This window comes from Homo sapiens, chromosome 22 (assembly GCF_000001405.40).
Source record: "Homo sapiens chromosome 22, GRCh38.p14 Primary Assembly".
In the NCBI taxonomy this organism is placed as follows: Eukaryota; Metazoa; Chordata; class Mammalia; order Primates; family Hominidae; genus Homo; species Homo sapiens.
In genome coordinates this window covers 39,703,841-39,721,794 of record NC_000022.11, presented here as the reverse complement: position 1 = coordinate 39,721,794, position 17,954 = coordinate 39,703,841, and the positions used below count along the sequence as shown (strand labels likewise).

Below are 17,954 nucleotides of genomic sequence, written 5' to 3'. Positions count from 1 at the left end.
GGCTCTAACTGTTAAGGCTGATGACCTTGACCTAGGGCAAGCTATCTTAGCCTTTGGGAGTATTGCATTGCTCATCTGAAAAACAGAGGGGCTGGTAACCACGCACAGGGCGGTGGGGGAACTTCAGTCAGAGGACAAGTGCAAAGCCTTCTCTATGGCAGGCATTCCCTAAGTGCTCCGCCCCCGGGGTCCGGGGCTGGCTACTCTCCTGTGCCACGGAGTCTCAGAGGTTAGCATACAGCTCAGGAAGTTTGAAGATGATTTAGGGTTCCCTGAGCATCCTGGCTGAATTGTTCTTCCTTCTGCCCTCTAAGTAGTCTTTATTCCCGTCTGGGCTTGGAATCTGGAAAGTGTCTCCTTTGTATCCAATTAGAACATTTTTCATTTCAAAACGTATTGTTGCCCAGGGACAATGGCATAAAGCAGAGCTTAGCTGGCTCCCGAGAATAGAAGCAGACAGTGAAAGGGCTTCCTGAGAACAGTGGCATCTTTGAGAGTGACTGTCCCTCTTGGCTCTGCACCAACAGAGCTGGCACCCAGGTGTCAGCAGGAGAGCCCTTGTAATTAATTTTTAAATTTGCTATTTTCATGCATTTAGGCATGGGGCTGAAGTTCCAGTTGGTTTTGACCTTTAAAAATGTTACAGGCAATATCAGCCTTTCTCCAATGTGAAGGACACTGACTCGGAGGCTATAAAAACCCCAGCCTTGCAGGCTGGCACCTTCCCTTCTGTTTCCTCTCTTTTCCCTGCATTTCACTTGTCATCTATATAAAGGAAATCCACATACACACAGACTTATTTTTTTTTTTTTGGAATGAGGTGTATGTTTCCATCCCTGCATTTTCCATTCCCAAAGTGGCTGTCACACATTTTTTTATTGTGGTAAAATATACCTCACATAGAATTTACCGTCGTGACCAGTTGTGAGCATGCAGTTCTGTGGTAGTAAGTCCATTCCCATTGATATGCAGCCATCATCACTACCCCTCTGCAGAACCTTCTCATCCTCCCCCACTGAAAGTCTGCACCCGTGAAACACTAACTCTCTGTTCCCCCTGGCCCAGCCCCTGGTAACCCCATCTACTTCTTGTCTGTATGACTTTGACACTCTAGACCCCCTCATCTAAGTGAGTATTTGTATTCCGTGTATTTGTCTTTATTTGTCTGTATTTCCCAGTATTTGTCTTTCCGTGACAGGCATTACATCCTCAAGGTCCATCCAAGGTCGTGGGATGTGTCAGAATGTCCCTCCTTTTTAATGCTGAATGCTATTCTGTCATATGGATATCTCACATATATTTTAAATGGGGAAAGATCCTCAATGGCTATTAGTGAAACACTGGTTTTCCCCTTTAGAAGGTGTTTTCTCCACACATTATTTCATTTGATCCCCAACAAGGTTTGGAGGTAAACGCAATTACCCCAGTTCATATGGGAGGGACCAAGTCTCTGAGAAGCTAAGGGGCTGTCCTGGGCCACATGCCGGGTAAAACAGCAGGGCTCAGACCCATGGCCTCTCACTAGAGCCCTGGTCCTTCCAGCCCCCGTCCCATGACACCCCCGTCTCAAATGTTAAAAACAGAACTTAGCCTTTGTTCAGGCTAATGTTTGCTTGTCCATTTTCTTTCACTCCCCACTTACATCCATTAGTCAGAGGCTTCCAGCAGGGGCTCAGATAAGGTCAGGGTGGAGAGAGAATCTGGTTTCAAAAGAACCCATAGAAAGAGACAGGAAAAAACTCCACCCCAATCCCAGTCCCCTCCAACCACAGTGAACCACTAAGGCTATGCCTTTCGGTCTTTTCTATAAGATAAAATCAAAATGATTGAAAAGGTAAAGAAGGAAATCTCGTATTTGCATTTAAGGCCACTGGTGATGCAAACCGACCCAGATTAGACTATGTCTACGCTGGAACGGAACCAAACCTGCCGGGGGCAGAGCAAACCAGGGAAGTGACAGAGCCATTGGTGGCCGGGCACCGACTGGGGGATGGGGCCACCTGCCAGTCAGTAGGTGGAGCGCCCTGCCAGGAGCCCCATCCAGCATCTCCACTCTTCACAGCAACCCACAAGGGAGGGGAGCTGCCCCCACCCTCCCCATCACACCATCCCCATCACACACTTCACCGCCACATGGCTAGAGGATGTGGCACGAGGAGGTGGGATGGAAGAAGAAAAGTGAAACCAATCTAGAAGTCCAGCTTCAGGGCAGGGGGCTCACAAGGCCCAGATTTGGGCTCCTTCTACTGCTGCCACCATGGTGGTCTTGAGGACCCCTCCTCAGGGACCAAGGCCCCAGAATGTGGCCCACCCTGTGCTCTGTCCTTGGCCACTTTTGGGTAGGAAGTTAGTGACTGCAGGGGCTGTTCTGGGAAGCAGGCAGGTGCCACCTTCTACAAGGCCCAGGAGGACCACCAACAAGCCTGGGCATTTGAACTTTCTCCTATAGGTAAGGGGGCTCCAGGAAATGTCTGTACTGAGGAGAGGCAAGGGGTGTGTCAGTGCCTGCTGGGCAGACCCAGGGGAATAGGGAAGAGAGATGGAGTTGGGGCAGCGGCCCAGGCAGCCCTAGGAATGCTGAATCCATCCCGCCCTGGGCAGGGAGTGTGAGCAGAGATGAAGATCAACACGGAGCGCTTCTTGGGAACAGCCATGCCCTTGGTGGCTGCAGGCCCTCAGAGTGGCAGATTCGTTACAGCCGCAGTGTGCCTGGACTGGAGAGGCTCCACGCACTCTGGTGATAGAAGGCTGACTTCTCACTGCCTGTAAAATACCACAGTGAGGAACTGACGGGCCCTTTTTTTGAGACAGAGTCTCTGTCACCCAGGCTGGAGAGCAGTGGCACAATCACAGTCCACTACAGTCTAGACCTCCCAGGCTCGGGTGATCCTCCCACCCCAGCGTCTCAAGTAGCTGGGACCACAGGCATGCCCCATCAGGCCCAGCTAATTTTTGTATTTTTAGTAGAGACAGGGTTTCACCATGCTGCTGCCCAGGCTGGTCTCAAACTCCTGGTCTCAACTATCCTCCCACCTCGGCCTCCCAAAGTGCTGGGATTACAGGCTGAGCCATGGTGCCCGGCTGGAACTGGGGGCTCTTGAATGAAGCAGAAAGACCTGTCTGGCCTGGTCTCGGTCTTCCAAACGAGCTTCAAGGTATCGTTTACACCATCACTAAAGGCTTACACTTCTGATGCTAGAGATTTCCTTTCCAAGCACCAATCTTCAGAGGTAGCATCCAGCTTGGCTCCCTCTTGCTGGCTGTGTGACCTTAAGCTCTCTGAGCCTTGGTTTTGATACAGAAATTACAAGTTTCCTTAATAAGACCGTCCAAGTTGGCAGCAAAGAGACACTGCTGGCAGGGGTGGGGCACCTCTCCTCCACAGTTCACCTTGGGAGTGGCTGGCTGATCCCAGCCACCATGGGCACGCTGCCCTCAAAGATACACGGTCCCCCATTTTTGGTTTCGTTTTTGTTTTTTGAGACAGAGTTTTGCTCTTGTCGCCCAGCTGGAGTACAATGGTGCAATCTCGGCTCACTGCAACCTCCTTAGCCTCCCAACTAGCTGGGATGACAGGCACCCGCCACTGCGCCCAGCTAATTTTTGTTTTTTTAGTAGAGACAGGGTTTCACCATGTTGGCTAGGCTGGTCTCAAACTGCTGACCTCAGGTGATCCACCCGCCTCAGCCTCCCAAAGTGCTGGGATTACAGGCGTAAGCCACTGTGCCCAGCCCACGGTCCCCTTTTACTGCTGGTGAGAGGTGGACACTTGCCCTTTAGCCCAGAGAGTATGCTGGGATGACACCGTTGTCAAGTAAATATAAGCATCAAGGGTGCCCTCAAGAATGGACCCATGTTTCGCCACACAGCCCAATCTCTGCGGTTGACCAAGGCTGTCCCGCCAAGATGCCGCCCCTGCCTGATTCTGAATCCTAAAGTCATTCCAGAGGCCCCCAAGAGGTCCACAGCATGGCTGATAGCCAGGCCGGCCCCTGTGATCCCATTCACTCACTCACATTCATTTATTGGAGGAATAATCCTGTTCCCAGGCCCTGTTCTATTTGAACACGCTCCTAAGGAAAAGCTGCCCAGAGGTGTTCTTGAGCCAGCTCATGTGGACTCCAGGGTCCGATGGAATTTACCTGGGTGCAGTGACTTCGCCTCGGCAGCTCGAGACTGGCCATGGTAGGATTCTTTACTCCAGGGAAGCTGGTCAACACCACATTCTCCTCAAAGAGCCGGTGGTTAAACCAGTGCACCAATGGTTAATCTGACCGGCCTATCCTATAACTTAGCAATTGCACCACTGGGTGTCTACCTAAGAGAAAAGAGTCCACATATCCAACCAAAGACAAGTGCAAGAATGCTCAGAGCAGCTGTATTCAAAGTCGACAAAGAATGGAAACAAGCCAGATGCCCACCGACAGGAGGAAGGGTGAGCAGTGTTACACCCGCACAATGAAGAGCTCCTCAGAGATAGAGAAATGAGCTATTGATCCACATGACGGCACGGCTGACTCTCGCAGACACTGCACTGAGTGAAAGAAGCCAGGCACAAAAGGCTGCATTGTGTGATTTGCTGCATACAAAGTTCAAGAATAGGCAAAACTAGTATACGGTGAGAGAGACCAAAACGTGGCTACCTCTGGGGAAGGGGCTGGGATTGACTGGGAGGGGCAAGAGGAGGCCTTCTTTCTGGGAGGCTATTCCGTATCTTGAACAAGGGTGTGCGCATATGGAAAAGTTAATCAGGCTGTGTATTTGAGATTTGTTCGCTTTGCACTTCACACTGCTTGCTGCACATATTATATACCTCTATTAAACAGAAAAGACAGTGTGTGCATGTGTGTGCGTGTATTTGTCTGTCTGTCTTCCAGGAAGTCCCTTCCTTCTTCCTAGCTCACTGCCCAGCTCAGTCCCCAGCTCCTAGCAGCTCACATCTTCCTTAAAGTGAAGACCCAGGAAATACCAGCTCCTGAGTTCCAATTCCTGAGTTCCGGCTGTCCGAGGCCTCCCCCGCCCTCCAGCCCTAGACAACGGCCTTTAGAAAGACCCTGCGCGAAAACTGAGTTGACTGTTGAACAAGGCTGTCCCACCAAGACGCTGCCCCTGCCTGATTCTGAATCCTGAAGTCAGTCCAGAGACCCACGAAGAGTCCCCAACATGGCTGATAGCCAGGCCAGCCTCTATGATCACATTCATTCACTCACATCCATTTATTCAAAAGCGCAGGTGAGGCCCCGGGCCAGGGGTGGCATGATGGACGGGCCCAGAGTGAGGTGGGATGTGGCAGCAGCGGTGCGGATGTGGTACCTTCAGGGCTTGGCATCTGGTAGGATCAGGCAGGGGAAGGACTTGGTGACAACTGAGGACCGGAAGGGTGGTCACGCATCTGCCAGAAGTCAGGTGAGGCACAGGCCGTTGTCGGCCTTGGCTGCCTCCGTGGCTGCCCAGCTCTAATTTCCAGCCAAGAGGGGGGAACTGCAGGAGTCAGAACAGTAACAAGGAGAGTTACCCACATTCGACAAGTGAGGAAACCGAGGCTCGGAGTGGGGAAGAAACTTTCCCAGGTTCACCCAGCTAGAAGTTTCAGGCCTGGAATCTGAACCTGCTTATTTTGTCTAGGAGTTGGGAGGCTCTCGGGAGGGCAGGCTGGGGTCTGCAGTAGAGGTCTGCACGGGCCCTGGCGGGGGGGCAGGAAGCGCCAGGACATGGGTCGGGAGCATGGAGAGGCTGGTGTGCCAGGGTCTGACGTGAAAGACTCCACCAGGTCCATCACTGTCTGTATCAGCCCCGGGGACTCCCAAGACTTGGGACAAGCTCAAGACAAGGCAGAGCGAGGAGAGAGCCAGCTGTGTCCCCAGCATCCGGGCCCCTCGCGAGCTGCCGCTGAGACTGCTCCAGGGCCAGGAAGTGGCAGGTCTGGGGCAGCGTCCCAGCTGGGCCCCTGCCTGCTGTGAGACCGTGGGCAAGCCACCTCTTCTTCCTCGTCTGTAAAATGGAGACAGTGACCCCCGTTTGGGTTTGGATTAAGAGATTGGGTTTATAAAACACCAGGCAGTTTTAGGGTGTACGAAAACACAGTAGCAACTCCAGAACTCTTCACTGAATACATTCAATCCAACCAAGCCCCCCCAGCAAAGGAGTATGAAGGTTGACCGCTCCTGCTCAAGCACGTGGCAGCGTCACTGGGGCAGGGATGGGGGGTGGGGGGACAGCCGAAGGAAGGGGACAGCCCCGCAGCGCTTGGACAGAAACTCGCAAAGGCCCTGAAGAATAAGCTGCACTCAGGTTTATACTGCTTTGCAGCTACTTTTATTTTATTTTATTTTGAGACGGAGTCTTGCTCTGTCACCCAGGCTAGAGTGCAGTGGCGCGATCGCGGCTCATGCTTCGCAGCTACTTTTATTAAAAATCATGAATTCTGGTCAGGGACATGGTCGGCCTCAAATCCTAAAAAGCTGCCAGGCACAGTGGCTCACTCCTATTATCCTCGCACTTTGGGAGGCCGAGGCAAGAATATCACATGAGACCAGGAGTGTGAGACAAGCCTGGGCAACAGAGTGAGAACCCCATCTCTATAGAAAATTTTAAAAATAAAAATAAGAGATTTAGCCAGTCGTGACAGTGCTCACCTGTAGTCCCAGCTATTTGGGAGGCTGGGGCGGTAGAACTGCTGGAGTCCAGGAGTTCAAAGCTGCAGTGAGCCATGATCGCACCACTGCAGTCCAGCCTGGGCAGCAGAGCAAGACCCTGCCTCAAAATTAAATAAACGTCACGAATTTACGAAGTTCTTTGAAATGAATCCAGTCCTGCCAGTGTACGCACTGCTCCTCTTCCACAGCAGGGAAGGGGTGGTCTCTGAACAGCTGAGCCCACCCCTAAATGCCCAGCTGAGGAGTGCAGCCCCCAGCCTCTCGGCTACACCCTTTCTAAGCCCACTTCTGTGACCTCATCTACCGGACAGGTGGGGAAATGTCCATGCTTCCCGCGGGCCCAGCTCAGGTCGGGGTCAGTATTTCACAGAAATACAGAGAGAACAGCCAGACCCAGTGCCACCCCTCCATCCTTGTTTCCTCTGGACACCTCCCTTCTCAAGGGCGTGCAGTAATCGAATGCACAATGCCCCATGCCTCTCCCTGGCAAAGACACCTTTAGAGGAAACAATACATCTTTCTACAGCGCCACCACCTCCCAGGTGTACAGGGCATTCCCTTAGGCTCAGGCTGAGCAGGACACAGACCCCACTAAGCAGGCCTGAGTGGGCATCAGGGACGGCCTGCTCTGCGCTGCTCAGTCACAGAGGTGCCGGTGAGGGCTTGTGGCCCCAGAAGCCTCACTGGTATCCACAGTGAGTCTGGGGCTCTCAGCCACCCTGAAGAATAGCGCAGACAGGGACTGTCTACTACTGTACCCTCTGCTACTACCGGCTGGATCACCTGGACTTGCTTGAACCTGAGCTTCCTTGTCTGTAAGATGGGATCATCACCGTGCTCATGGCGCATGATCTTTAGAGGTGTCGGTGAGAGTCAGTGGAAAGGGTCTCGCACCAAGCCAGGTAAGCCAGGGCTATGCCACACACTGCAGCACTCACAGCCTTTATGCTGCTATATTCTGGCTGCCGCGTGAACCTGCAATGATTTCTGTTGCAGTGCCCTGGACTGGGGAACCCAGGCCTCAGCTGAACCCCTGTGGCCATGACCCTGTCTGGCTCTCCCAGGCCCAGACTCAGCCTGGTCCGTCTGTTGCCCTCCCTCAGCCCCTGCCCCAAGTCTCTTCCGGTGGCATCAGCCAGGACCGCCCTCCCACCTGTGGATCCAGCCCCTCACCTCCCCCAGAGCCAGCCTCGGCCCTGCTCTAAACCAGGGTCCTCCTTCCTCTATGTTTGGGGAACACTTTTGAAAGATTGATCACATTTTTAGCAAGCAGCTTGCTCCTTCCGCTGGAAAGGTGCTAAATAAGTTTCGTGTTATTATTTTCTATTTTTAGTCATACTTTTAAAACTGAGACAGAAATAAAAAGGGCAAAAGCAGGAGGCTCGATGATAAGTTGGTCTCCATCTCCAGCCCCACCTCTTCCCCTCAGACAGCCATGGCTGTCCCTTCTGCACGCAGGGAAGGACCCAGCCCACCCGCCCCGCCCCATCCCATTCCCGATTTGTGTTTTACACAGCTGATCCTGTACCTGCTGTTTAGCCAAGCAGCTTGCAGACCTTCTTTTATCAGATGGACTTGATTCTCTCTAAAGGCTTCCTGGAATTCCACTGTGTGAATGCTCCCCGGTGCAGAGTGTCTGGATCCCTTTTTGATGGAACGTCAGTCTGCTTCCGCGCCGTAGTAAATAGTCATTCCGCGGAATACCCTCCTAAAGGTGGAATTGCTGGGTCGAAGGTCACAAGGCCTCCCTGGGTGCCGCATACTAGCTCAGCCCGACACTCTGCGGGGTGTCCTGCACTGGTCCTGCCTGTCCCTGCCCACCTCCAATGCCGGCCTCACAGCCAAGCCCATTCATGTTTTGACTGTCATTCATTCACTCACTCATTCATTCATTCATCATCTCCCCTGGGCCAGGCCCCAGGTGCTGGGGATTCACACAAGACCTAGCCCAGCCTTCAGAAGCCTGCAGCCTGGGGCTGAATCTTCCTCTTCTGTGAAATCTCCTGGGATCACCCCAAGCAGGGCCTCTCCCCCCTCCTCTGGGCTCCCGCTGCAGTGGGTGAATAGCTTATACAGCTTTTCATCTGTGATAGAGACGCACATGGGCACCTTCCAAAGAGACTTTGTTCTACAGCCAGTGACAAGGGTGTGCTCCCTCCCTCCAGGAGACCGCCCCCTGTCCACCACTGATCAGACCAGGACTAATTGGACTCCTGTCCTGGGAAATCGGAGCAGCTGAGTGTCAGGCAGGCAGTGCTGGGCTTGGGAGTTGCAGAGGCGGAGGTAAGAGAAGCTGTAGGGCCCCACACACGACAAAGCTATGGGACAGCCAAAAGGGCCTTGTCAGGGAAGCCTGCCTGTAGTGTGGAGGATGGAGCTGGCAGACAGAAAGGGACCAGGAGAGACCCTCCCTAACTGCAATTAAGTGTTGGGAGATCCCCCTAGAGCCTGATTCAAACTCACCTTATTTAAACGGGCTCGAGAGGGATTTGCTCCTTCCCATCCAACAAACCCTGAGAGCTTCCATCCTCAGCTGGGGAGAGTCTTCAGGGAAGGAAGCCAGGTTCATCCCCTTCTGCATCCTCTGCACCCAGCATGTGGCTGGAAAAAGGGAGGCTCAGAGCAGCAGCCAGTGGGCACTGACCGGGCACTTGCCTGTGCCAGGTGCTAGGCTGGGCATGTCATCCCCGTGAATCCCATCTCAGACCCATGAGGAGGCACCACCATGTGCCCTCTTTGCACTGCAGCTGCTTCTAACATCATATGCTTGACTTCAACACCTCCACTTCCATCACCTCCACTTTCTTCACAACCACTACTCTCACCTCCACTTCCATCACCTCCACCACTGTCACCTCCACTTCCATCACCTCCACCACTGTCACCTCCACTTCCATCATCCCCACTGCTGTCCCCTCCACTTCCATCACCCCCACCACTGTCACCTCCACTTCCATCACCCCCACCACTGTCACCTCCACTTCCATCACCCCCACCACTGTCACCTCCACTGCTATCACCCCCACCCTGTCACCTCCACTTCCAACCCCTCCACTGCTGTGACCTCCACCACTGTCACCTCCACCTCCGTCACCTCCACTGCTGTCACCACCACTGTCCCCTCCATTTCCATCACCTCCACTGCTGTCACCTCCACTTCCATCATCCCCACTGCTGTCATCTCCACCTCCATCACCTCCACTTCCAGCCCCTCCACTGCTATCAAAGCTATGCTCAGCCTGCCTGACCTAGGCTTGAATCCTAAATCCCTCTGTTTCTTGCTTCACAGAAAGGTTTGATTCGCACCAGTAGCATTTCTGAGGAATGGAAGGAATGTAAAAACATATAAGCAAGGCCAATACCAGGGTCTGGAAAGAAGCAGGCTGGGCAGCCCGATGCCACCCATAACACCTGAGCCTGGATGCCCCCTGAGCCTGTAAGGCGGGGGCTGTAAGCACCTTTTCTGCTGCACACAGAGCCTTGCTGGGCCCTTGAGGCTATGGGGTAATGAGGAAGACACGATGGAAACCAGCCTGTTCCAGAATGAGCAGGAAGTTTATTGTCCTTCTGAGGCTCCTGCAGTATGGGCACAGGGAACACTGCGTCTCGAAGGAGCGCACTGTGGCCACAGCTTATATAAGTTAAAGAATAAAAAACTCTCTCCTAGCAAGACATTTCCCACCCTCGCCCCGCTCCCCCCACCCCCTGACGAGCAGGGACACTTCTTGCCAGGCAGGTTTCAAGGCACAGGCGGCCCCGTCCTCATCTTGACGAGGACCATCTGGGTCCTTGCCAGGTCCTCTTCTTAGGCTCCTAGAATCGGGGACCCACTTGTCCAAGCACCTGAGGGATTTCCAGATGGATCCAATCCTGACGCCACTGGGGTCCACCCCAGGTCCTCCCAGTGAGAACATGCAATGAAAAGTAAAATGTTGCGAGTCTGCAGTGAGTGAGCTGAGAGCACGGGGACCCTAAGAGCTGCATGGCTCCCTGCCGTGGATGTGACGTGTCAACCTAACAAACTGGAAGAGGCTTTCTACAAAAAATGAGGTTCATTTGGGAACGGGCGCTACGTGGAAATATGTGTGCCGTGGTAAACTGCATGTGCGTCCAGGGAGGTCAAGGAAGGCAAAGGTTTTTAAAGGAAAATGAAGAGGATTAGGTCATCATTTTAAGATAAGTATCCTTGGCTGCTAGAATCAGGAACAAGGGTGGCACCAATCCAAGGCTGGACAGGCAGCTGCTGGGCCGATGTCCTCCAGGAGCGGTTTTCTGTGTAAGGTTGCAATGGCCTTTGTGCAAAGTGGTGGTTTTTAAAGAGACTTTTATGATAGTTCTTGGTATCAGGCATTCATGCACGAGAACCCTCCCTTTGTAGCCTTCTCTGGCTCTGTTTGTCAGGGTTTTAAACACAAGTGACTCCATTTTTACCCTGACAACTTTCACCAAAGACACGGTGAGGGCAGCTGTGCCTGAGCAGAATCTGGGAGAAAAGGCAGCTGGCTGAGCAGCTTTGGCCTCAGAGCTCTTTGCCCCGGAGCAGAAATCCCAGGTGGCACCTCCATGCCCTCAGGGCAGGGCACCTGTTCTCCAAGGAGAGAGAGAGCAGAGCGGGTGCTGGCAGCTGAGGGGCATGTAACCTGGGTGCCCGGAGGCTGGCCGCCTTCCTTCAGGATCCAGCTTCAGGACCCTGCTGGTTCTGGGCAAGCTTCTCCTCTGTTTTGGGGGCTCCATCTGAGTGGAAGTTTCTGATCTACAGCAGGGTTCCCGGGAGCGGCAGATTCGGGCAATCTCATGGGCTGCAATTTGGGACAGAGCTAGTGTTCTGGAGGAGATGGGACACTGGGGACAGACAAGTCCCAGACAGGCGGTGGCATTACCTAGTGCAGTGAGAGCGGAGAGGGTTTTGCAGCTCGGGGAGGGCTTCCTGCAGAAGGCAATGCCACTGGAGCATCTTAAAAATTAGAAGTCCTTCTAAGACTCATAGGAATTATTTGGCAAAACACAGGAGGTTGGGAGGGGAAGGACATTCGGGCCGCCGGGGTGTGGGGTGGAGGACAGCATGAGACCCAGAGCTGTAGCCAGCATGGCATTTAGAGGGGAGCCAGTTATCATCCCAAAAGACTTAATTCTGGACACCTTCATCCTGAATGTTGAAATCCCAAAGCTATCACTTCTGGAAAAAATAATTTAAAAGTCTTTAAAAGATGTTTATTTACAATTTTAAAAGATTTATTTAAGAAACATATAAAAGCACAACAGAACACTTCACAGGCCAGTTTACACCATAAAACAGGCAATAACACCATACATATTTTTGCAAGCAGAAACACCCAGGTATGCTAATGATGGTCACCGAGGTGCAAAAATTATGAGCAGGCAAAGCTTATTCATAAAGAAATAGGGAAAGTATACATGCACATCACCGAGTATAACAATTATAAGCAGACAAACCGTATTCATAAAGTGAGTCAAAAAGGGACAAGGTACACGCACATCACCAAGGGAGTGTGTGCACTCAGCTTCATAACTGTGGTCATCTGAAATATTACATGACGGACAACCTAAGCCTTTTGATGAAATTGACCAAAAGCCACAATGGGTCGTCACGGCGTGTGCAGGCACCCAAATAGCTGAGATCTCGAAAGATTTTATTTCACAAATGCAGATGTACATAAAGGACATTTCTTCATCTATTGAGGAGGATTCAATGTTTCTGTGTTGAAAACCAGGAAAGCCGATGATCTATATCTCAGGCTGAGGCCAAAAGCCTCAAGGCCCCGGGGCGGGGGGATGCTGGTTAAGTCCTGGAGTCTAAAGGTTAAGAGCCTGGCATTCTGATGTCGAAGGCAGCAGAAGGAAAGGCTGTCCCGGCTCTCGGAGATTCGCCTTCGGCATTTGTTCTCTCCCACCCGCTGGCTGCTTGGATGGTGCCCGCCAACACTGAGGACAGAGCATTCCACCCAGCCTACTCAGACCCACACACGGGTCTCCCCTGGAGACCCCTCACAAACACACCCAACACAGTCCTTCACCCGGTCCTTCCTCCGGGCAAGAGGACGCCTAAAATTCATCCACAAATCTACCCTTGTCAACCTGGCACCCGTACGCATGTCCTGAAGCCACACTTAATTTCCAAATAAAGACAATAGCAAGGTCATAGTTCTGCCTAACACGATGCAATAGCCTGTGACTGTGATTTTCGGGATTTTAGAATTTAAGGATTTTAGACAATCGGGATTTAGACTTTAGGGATTTTGATCTTCAGGGATTTTGACCTTTTGGGATTTTGACATTCAGGATTATGGCATTTGGAATTGTGTCTTTCAGGATTAGGATCCAAATCCCCTTTTGAGAGAAGCTGGAAAGAGCGGGTGGGGGCGGCCGGTGTGAAGGAGCAGGAGCCTCCTTCGGAAAGCTCTGGGGCCACCAAAGGTGAGTGGCTGGGGCTGGACTCATTCACACTGAACATGGATCCGGGGTGTGGGGCGGAGGGTAGGGTGAGGGGGGACCCGTGGGGGCGAGGGCCGACTCAGGACAGTGATCTTGTCAGCAGAGACATTTAGGAGGCAAAGTTCTCTGGATTTGAACTTTGAGCCTCAGCCTACAAGTGGCAATGAGTGGTAATAAAACAGTCAAGGGCGGTCAGGCGCAGTGGCTCATGCCTGTAATCCCAGCACTTTGGGAGGCCTAGGCCGGCAGATTACTTGAGTTTAGGAGTTCAAGACCAGCCTGGCCATCATGATGAAACCCCATCTCTACTAAAAGTACAAAAATTAGCCAGGCGTGGTGGTGCTCGCCTCTAATCCTAGCTACTAGGGAGGGTGAGGGAGGAGAATTGCTTGAATCTGGGAGGTGGAGGTTATAGTGAACCGAGATCTTGCCACTGCACTCCAGCCTGGGCCACAGAGCGAGACTCCATCTTCAAAAAAAAAAAAAAAAAAAAAAAAGAAAAGAAACAGTCAAGGCAAGAGGCCTCAGGAGGCGACCAGGGCCACCATCACACCATCACACTCAGAGCCCAGGGGAGGAAGAGGCCCCACAGCTGTTAAAGCTGGCCATTAATCTAAGAGCATGTGGAATCTTCTTTAATGAGAGCTACAGGCTGTCCCCGGAGGCCTTGCTTCTGGAAGGCAGGGTGCTGTTGCCAGCTCCCGAACAGAAATTCCATTAACATATTATAGCTGCAGTCCTAAGAACCTGCTTTTATGTTCCAAAGACAGAGGATAAATGGCCTTTATCATTTTTATGTGGCTGGTGTCACCGCAGAAGCTGTGCGTGGAAGGATCTGAGCTGTATTTCCTGTGTTTGGACCTTGTTTATTAGGTGTTTCAAGGTCTTTCTCCAGGAAGAAGTTGCATCTGGGCTGAGAAATGGCTCGGCCCATCCCAGAGCTGGATTACACAGGCCTCATTCAACATGGTCCAACTCTATGGGGCCCATGTAGAGACACTCATCACCTCCAGTTAAAACTGCAGGTGAAGCCTGAGCAGGGGGTGCCTGGGCCCATCTGCAGTGACTGCATCCACCCCTGGCCTGAAGCCTCGCTGAGTGTGGAAAGCCAGGCCCCTGGGCTCAGTCAGTGACTCCGCTGAGCAGACAGCCTCTCTCACCAGATGACCAGGTGAGGTGTCGCCAGGGCAGGAAGGCAAGATGCTGCAGGGGGAGCTTGCCCGGCTCTCACTGAGCATCCTGGAGCTGCTCTGCAGTGGGAAGGCAATCACCAGCCAACAGTGACACTGAGGCCTGGAGAAACAGAGTCACAGCCCAATGCCGCAGCCCTAGAGCAGACACGGCCCCTCCAACCAGCATCCTCTCCTCCTCTCAGGCTTTGGTGAGCCTGGGAGGGCCAGGGGCTTGGCCTGATGAGAATTTTTCTTTTTCGTTTTTCTTTATTTTTGAGACAAGGTCTCACTCTGTTGCCCAGGCTGGAGTGCAGTAGCGCAATCATGGCTCACTACAGCCTCAACCTCCTGGGCTCAAGCGATCCTCCCGCCTCAGCTCCCTGAGTAGCTGGGATTACAGGCACATGCCACGACACTGGGCTGACTTTGGTATTTTTTTGTAGAGACAGAGTTTCGCCATGTTGCCTGGGCTGGTCTCGAACCGTTAGGCTCAAGAGACCCGCCCCCCTCGGCCTTCCCAAGTGCTGGCATTACAGGCACGAACCACCGCGCCCTGCCAGATGAGAATCTTAAAGTCACCCCAAACTGGGCAGGTCCTCGCTGGGTTTGAAGCTGGGTGTATTCTGAGACGTCTGTGAAGGTCAGAACCAGAGCCGCAGCGCCGTCTCCAAGTTCCAGACTACTTAGTCAGGGCACAATCCATTTTCTTCATTAAAGAGCAGGTTCCTTGTCCATCTTTCAAACTAATGAGAAATCTTACTTGGGCGTGTTGAGCTGCTCCCTCCCCCGATTTTTTATTACTTTTCCCCAAAGCCTTCCCTGAATACAAATCTACACGGAGTGTGACTGCTCATGAGCTGTGAAGCCGAATTTAAGCCCCGGTCTGCTGAGCGTCACCCCAGGAGTCCAGGGCGGGGTCTGCTGTGTGGGGGCGGGGAGGACGCTCTCACTTTTGTCTATGGCTGCACAGAGATGCCACTCCTGTCTGTCAAGCACCGAGTTTCATGGGGAAATAAGAACCCTACAGATGAATCCTTTGTGTGCCCGAAACACTGCTGTCTGCCAGCGGGAAGGGAGAGACACCACAGCAAGGCTGCTGCAAAGCAGAGTGCCCCAAGGCGGGGTGGGGAGGGACAGGCTCCGGCTGCAGGACCTGGTGGACCACCAGGTCCAAGATGGCCACACTGAGCTGTCCCAGAAGACGCAGATCAGAGCAGGATGTGGCCAGTGTGCGTGGCCCATCAGGGCCTACCCTGGGAGAGCTGTTTTGCATGAGGAGGGGACATCATCCCCGTTGACAGTGCAGGGGCCTCCGCAGGGCCCAGGGAAGCAGCACGCACTGGCCCTCAGAAGGCAGGGGACGGACACCGGCACCTGCACAGGGCTGAGCTGACTCAGTTTTATAGGCTTGGCTCCCTACTCACCTGCCTCCCACCACCACCAAAGTGGGTAACAGCTCCTGCCCCTTTTTCTGGGAGAGGCTGGGGGTGGTGACACCGTTCATTCAAGGTCACGTAACTAAGGACAGAGCCTGTCTGAGCCAGGCAGGGTCTGCACACACAGCACGGCCATCTCAACCCTCTTCCTAGAGAGGTTCACCCGCCCTGCAGACGTCTGGGGAGCGGCAGGATGGACTGGGTCAGAGCAAGGGCCCTGGAGTCAGATAAACCTCGTTCAAACCCACCTGGCAACCGTGTGGCCTTGAGCAAGGCATGGACTTTTCCAGCATCCACCTTCTCACCTGCAAAACAGGGAGAAACGCTTCCTGCCTCCCAGGCCACAAGAGTCCAAGTAGGTGCCCAGGAAAGCCATGCTGCCCAGAGCTGCCCCCTGGGGCCATGCCCACACTCCCGGGGCACCCACACCTCCAGGAAGAGTACCCTGGCCAGCATGGCCTATGCCCACCTAGCTGGCGCTGAGTCAGAACCTGAGTCACGGGGCAGCTTCATCCAGCACAGGAGCTTGCGTGGGCACAGATGGATGGGCCCTGCCTGGGGGTGGCCTCTGCAGGCTGTGGCGGACTTGAGCGGCGTGAAGCCTGGTCATCAGTTTAGGAAATTTCAAACGTCCCACTCACGCTCCTGTGGACAAGGCCCAAGACGCAGCACACTTCCCCAGGGGGGCTTCGGATCCCGGAACATGTCTCAGGGAGCTCACAAAATGCTTTCATGAGCATGGGGAAGTGGTGAGGCCAGCCTTCCTGGTCTTCCAGAACTTTCCCCATAGGTCCTTTGCCAGGCAGGAAGCGGAGCTCCTCTCGAAATTTACTTTGCGGCTCCTGAACAGAAATGGGATTTGCTTCAAGAATCCTAAACAGGCCAAGCGCAGTGGCTCATGCCTGTAATCCCAGCACTTTGGGAGGCCGAGGCGGGCGGATCATGAGGTCAGGAGATCGAGACCATCCTGGCCAACATGCTGAAACCCTGTCTCTACTAAAAATACAAAAATTAGCCGGGTGTGGTGGCACATGCCTATAGTCCCAGCTACTCAGGAGGCTGAGGCAGGAGAATTGCTTGAACCTGGGAGGTGGAGGTTGCAGTGCACCGAGATCGCGCTGCACTCCAGCCTGGGCCACAGAGCGAGACTTTGTCTCAAAAAAAAAAAAAAAAAAAAAAAGAAGATCCTAAACAGAAAGCTGGGCTCTGGAACTGGCCCTTGTGGCGTTGGCATCCCTGCCCTGCACACTGTGGCCTCAGGTGCCCCACTGTGCAATGGGGTCTCAGCCTGCCTGGAGCCCAGGGCCCAGGCCACACCTGCAGCTTTCCTCCTCCAGCCAGTCACTCTTTGGGGCCCCAACCCCTCCTGGCCACTCCGGACCCACAGGCAGCCTGCAGGTGCCCCACTAGAGTGGGAACATAGGCCAACTTCTGACCCACCTGAGTTAGGCAGTCCAGGGACAGCAGGGTGACCGCATAGCCCAAGGTGGCTGCAGACGAATAGTCTTGGGCCAAATCCCATTCTGCCTCCCACGCCTGGTCCAGTCAGGTTCCCCATGATTCAAGATCACGGCCCTATCCCTCGCTGCCAGCGCTGGCTTCCAGCTCATGCAGACTTCACAGCCAAGCCAGCTTTCCTGCTATCCGGCTCTGTTTCAGCCCATTATTCCTCATTACTCCCAAACCACTGTCTACAAAGCCTCTCCCTCCTCCACCTTTGTGCCCTTCAACGGTTTGCAACAGGACTCATTTCTTGGCTAAGGGACAGGCCATCAGTCTTCTTAATCTGGCCTCATAAATCAGCCACCTGAGTACCCCCGGGCGCCTCCACTGCCCGCCCCCACCGAATTCCTGAATCCTCTGGCACCTCTTGGGGCAGCCCCAGGACCCCCAGCTCCCTCCTGGCGGGGGCAGCCATGACCCCAATACACCCAGCACTGTCCTTCTCCCCTCCCCTCCCAGGGCCTGTCCCCCAGGACAGGCTGAGGGCTCACAGCTGCTCTTGCAGGATCCCTGCCAGCAGCCTCAGCAGCTGCCTCCCCTGTCAGCAGGGCCTTCTCCTGGAACGGGACATCTTAAGCTTGTTGGGATCAATTGCCCGTGGCGTTCCAGTTAATCCCCCTGGCAGGCGACTGTCAGCTTTAGCAAGAGGAGGCGCGAGGACTTGTCAGGACATAGCCTTCCCTTAGGGTATGGAGAGCAGAAAGGGGCCAGTGGGGTCTGAAGGGCTTGGGGGG

At 53.6% G+C, this 17,954-nt stretch overlaps 5 annotated features.

Moving 5' to 3' along the window:
- Nucleotides 1,637–2,356: an enhancer, noted in NCBI's record as "H3K4me1 hESC enhancer chr22:40115444-40116163 (GRCh37/hg19 assembly coordinates)". NCBI's record gives its function as "activates a minimal SCP1, AML or CMV promoter by ChIP-STARR-seq in naive H9 embryonic stem cells {active_cell/tissue: H9 hESC(naive)}" and the evidence as "EXISTENCE:reporter gene assay evidence [ECO:0000049][PMID:30033119]".
- Nucleotides 2,357–3,077: an enhancer, noted in NCBI's record as "H3K4me1 hESC enhancer chr22:40114723-40115443 (GRCh37/hg19 assembly coordinates)". NCBI's record gives its function as "activates a minimal SCP1, AML or CMV promoter by ChIP-STARR-seq in naive H9 embryonic stem cells {active_cell/tissue: H9 hESC(naive)}" and the evidence as "EXISTENCE:reporter gene assay evidence [ECO:0000049][PMID:30033119]".
- Nucleotides 14,627–15,190: an enhancer, noted in NCBI's record as "H3K4me1 hESC enhancer chr22:40102610-40103173 (GRCh37/hg19 assembly coordinates)". NCBI's record gives its function as "activates a minimal SCP1, AML or CMV promoter by ChIP-STARR-seq in primed H9 embryonic stem cells {active_cell/tissue: H9 hESC(primed)}" and the evidence as "EXISTENCE:reporter gene assay evidence [ECO:0000049][PMID:30033119]".
- Nucleotides 15,191–15,753: an enhancer, noted in NCBI's record as "H3K4me1 hESC enhancer chr22:40102047-40102609 (GRCh37/hg19 assembly coordinates)". NCBI's record gives its function as "activates a minimal SCP1, AML or CMV promoter by ChIP-STARR-seq in primed H9 embryonic stem cells {active_cell/tissue: H9 hESC(primed)}" and the evidence as "EXISTENCE:reporter gene assay evidence [ECO:0000049][PMID:30033119]".
- Nucleotides 15,754–16,318: an enhancer, noted in NCBI's record as "H3K4me1 hESC enhancer chr22:40101482-40102046 (GRCh37/hg19 assembly coordinates)". NCBI's record gives its function as "activates a minimal SCP1, AML or CMV promoter by ChIP-STARR-seq in primed H9 embryonic stem cells {active_cell/tissue: H9 hESC(primed)}" and the evidence as "EXISTENCE:reporter gene assay evidence [ECO:0000049][PMID:30033119]".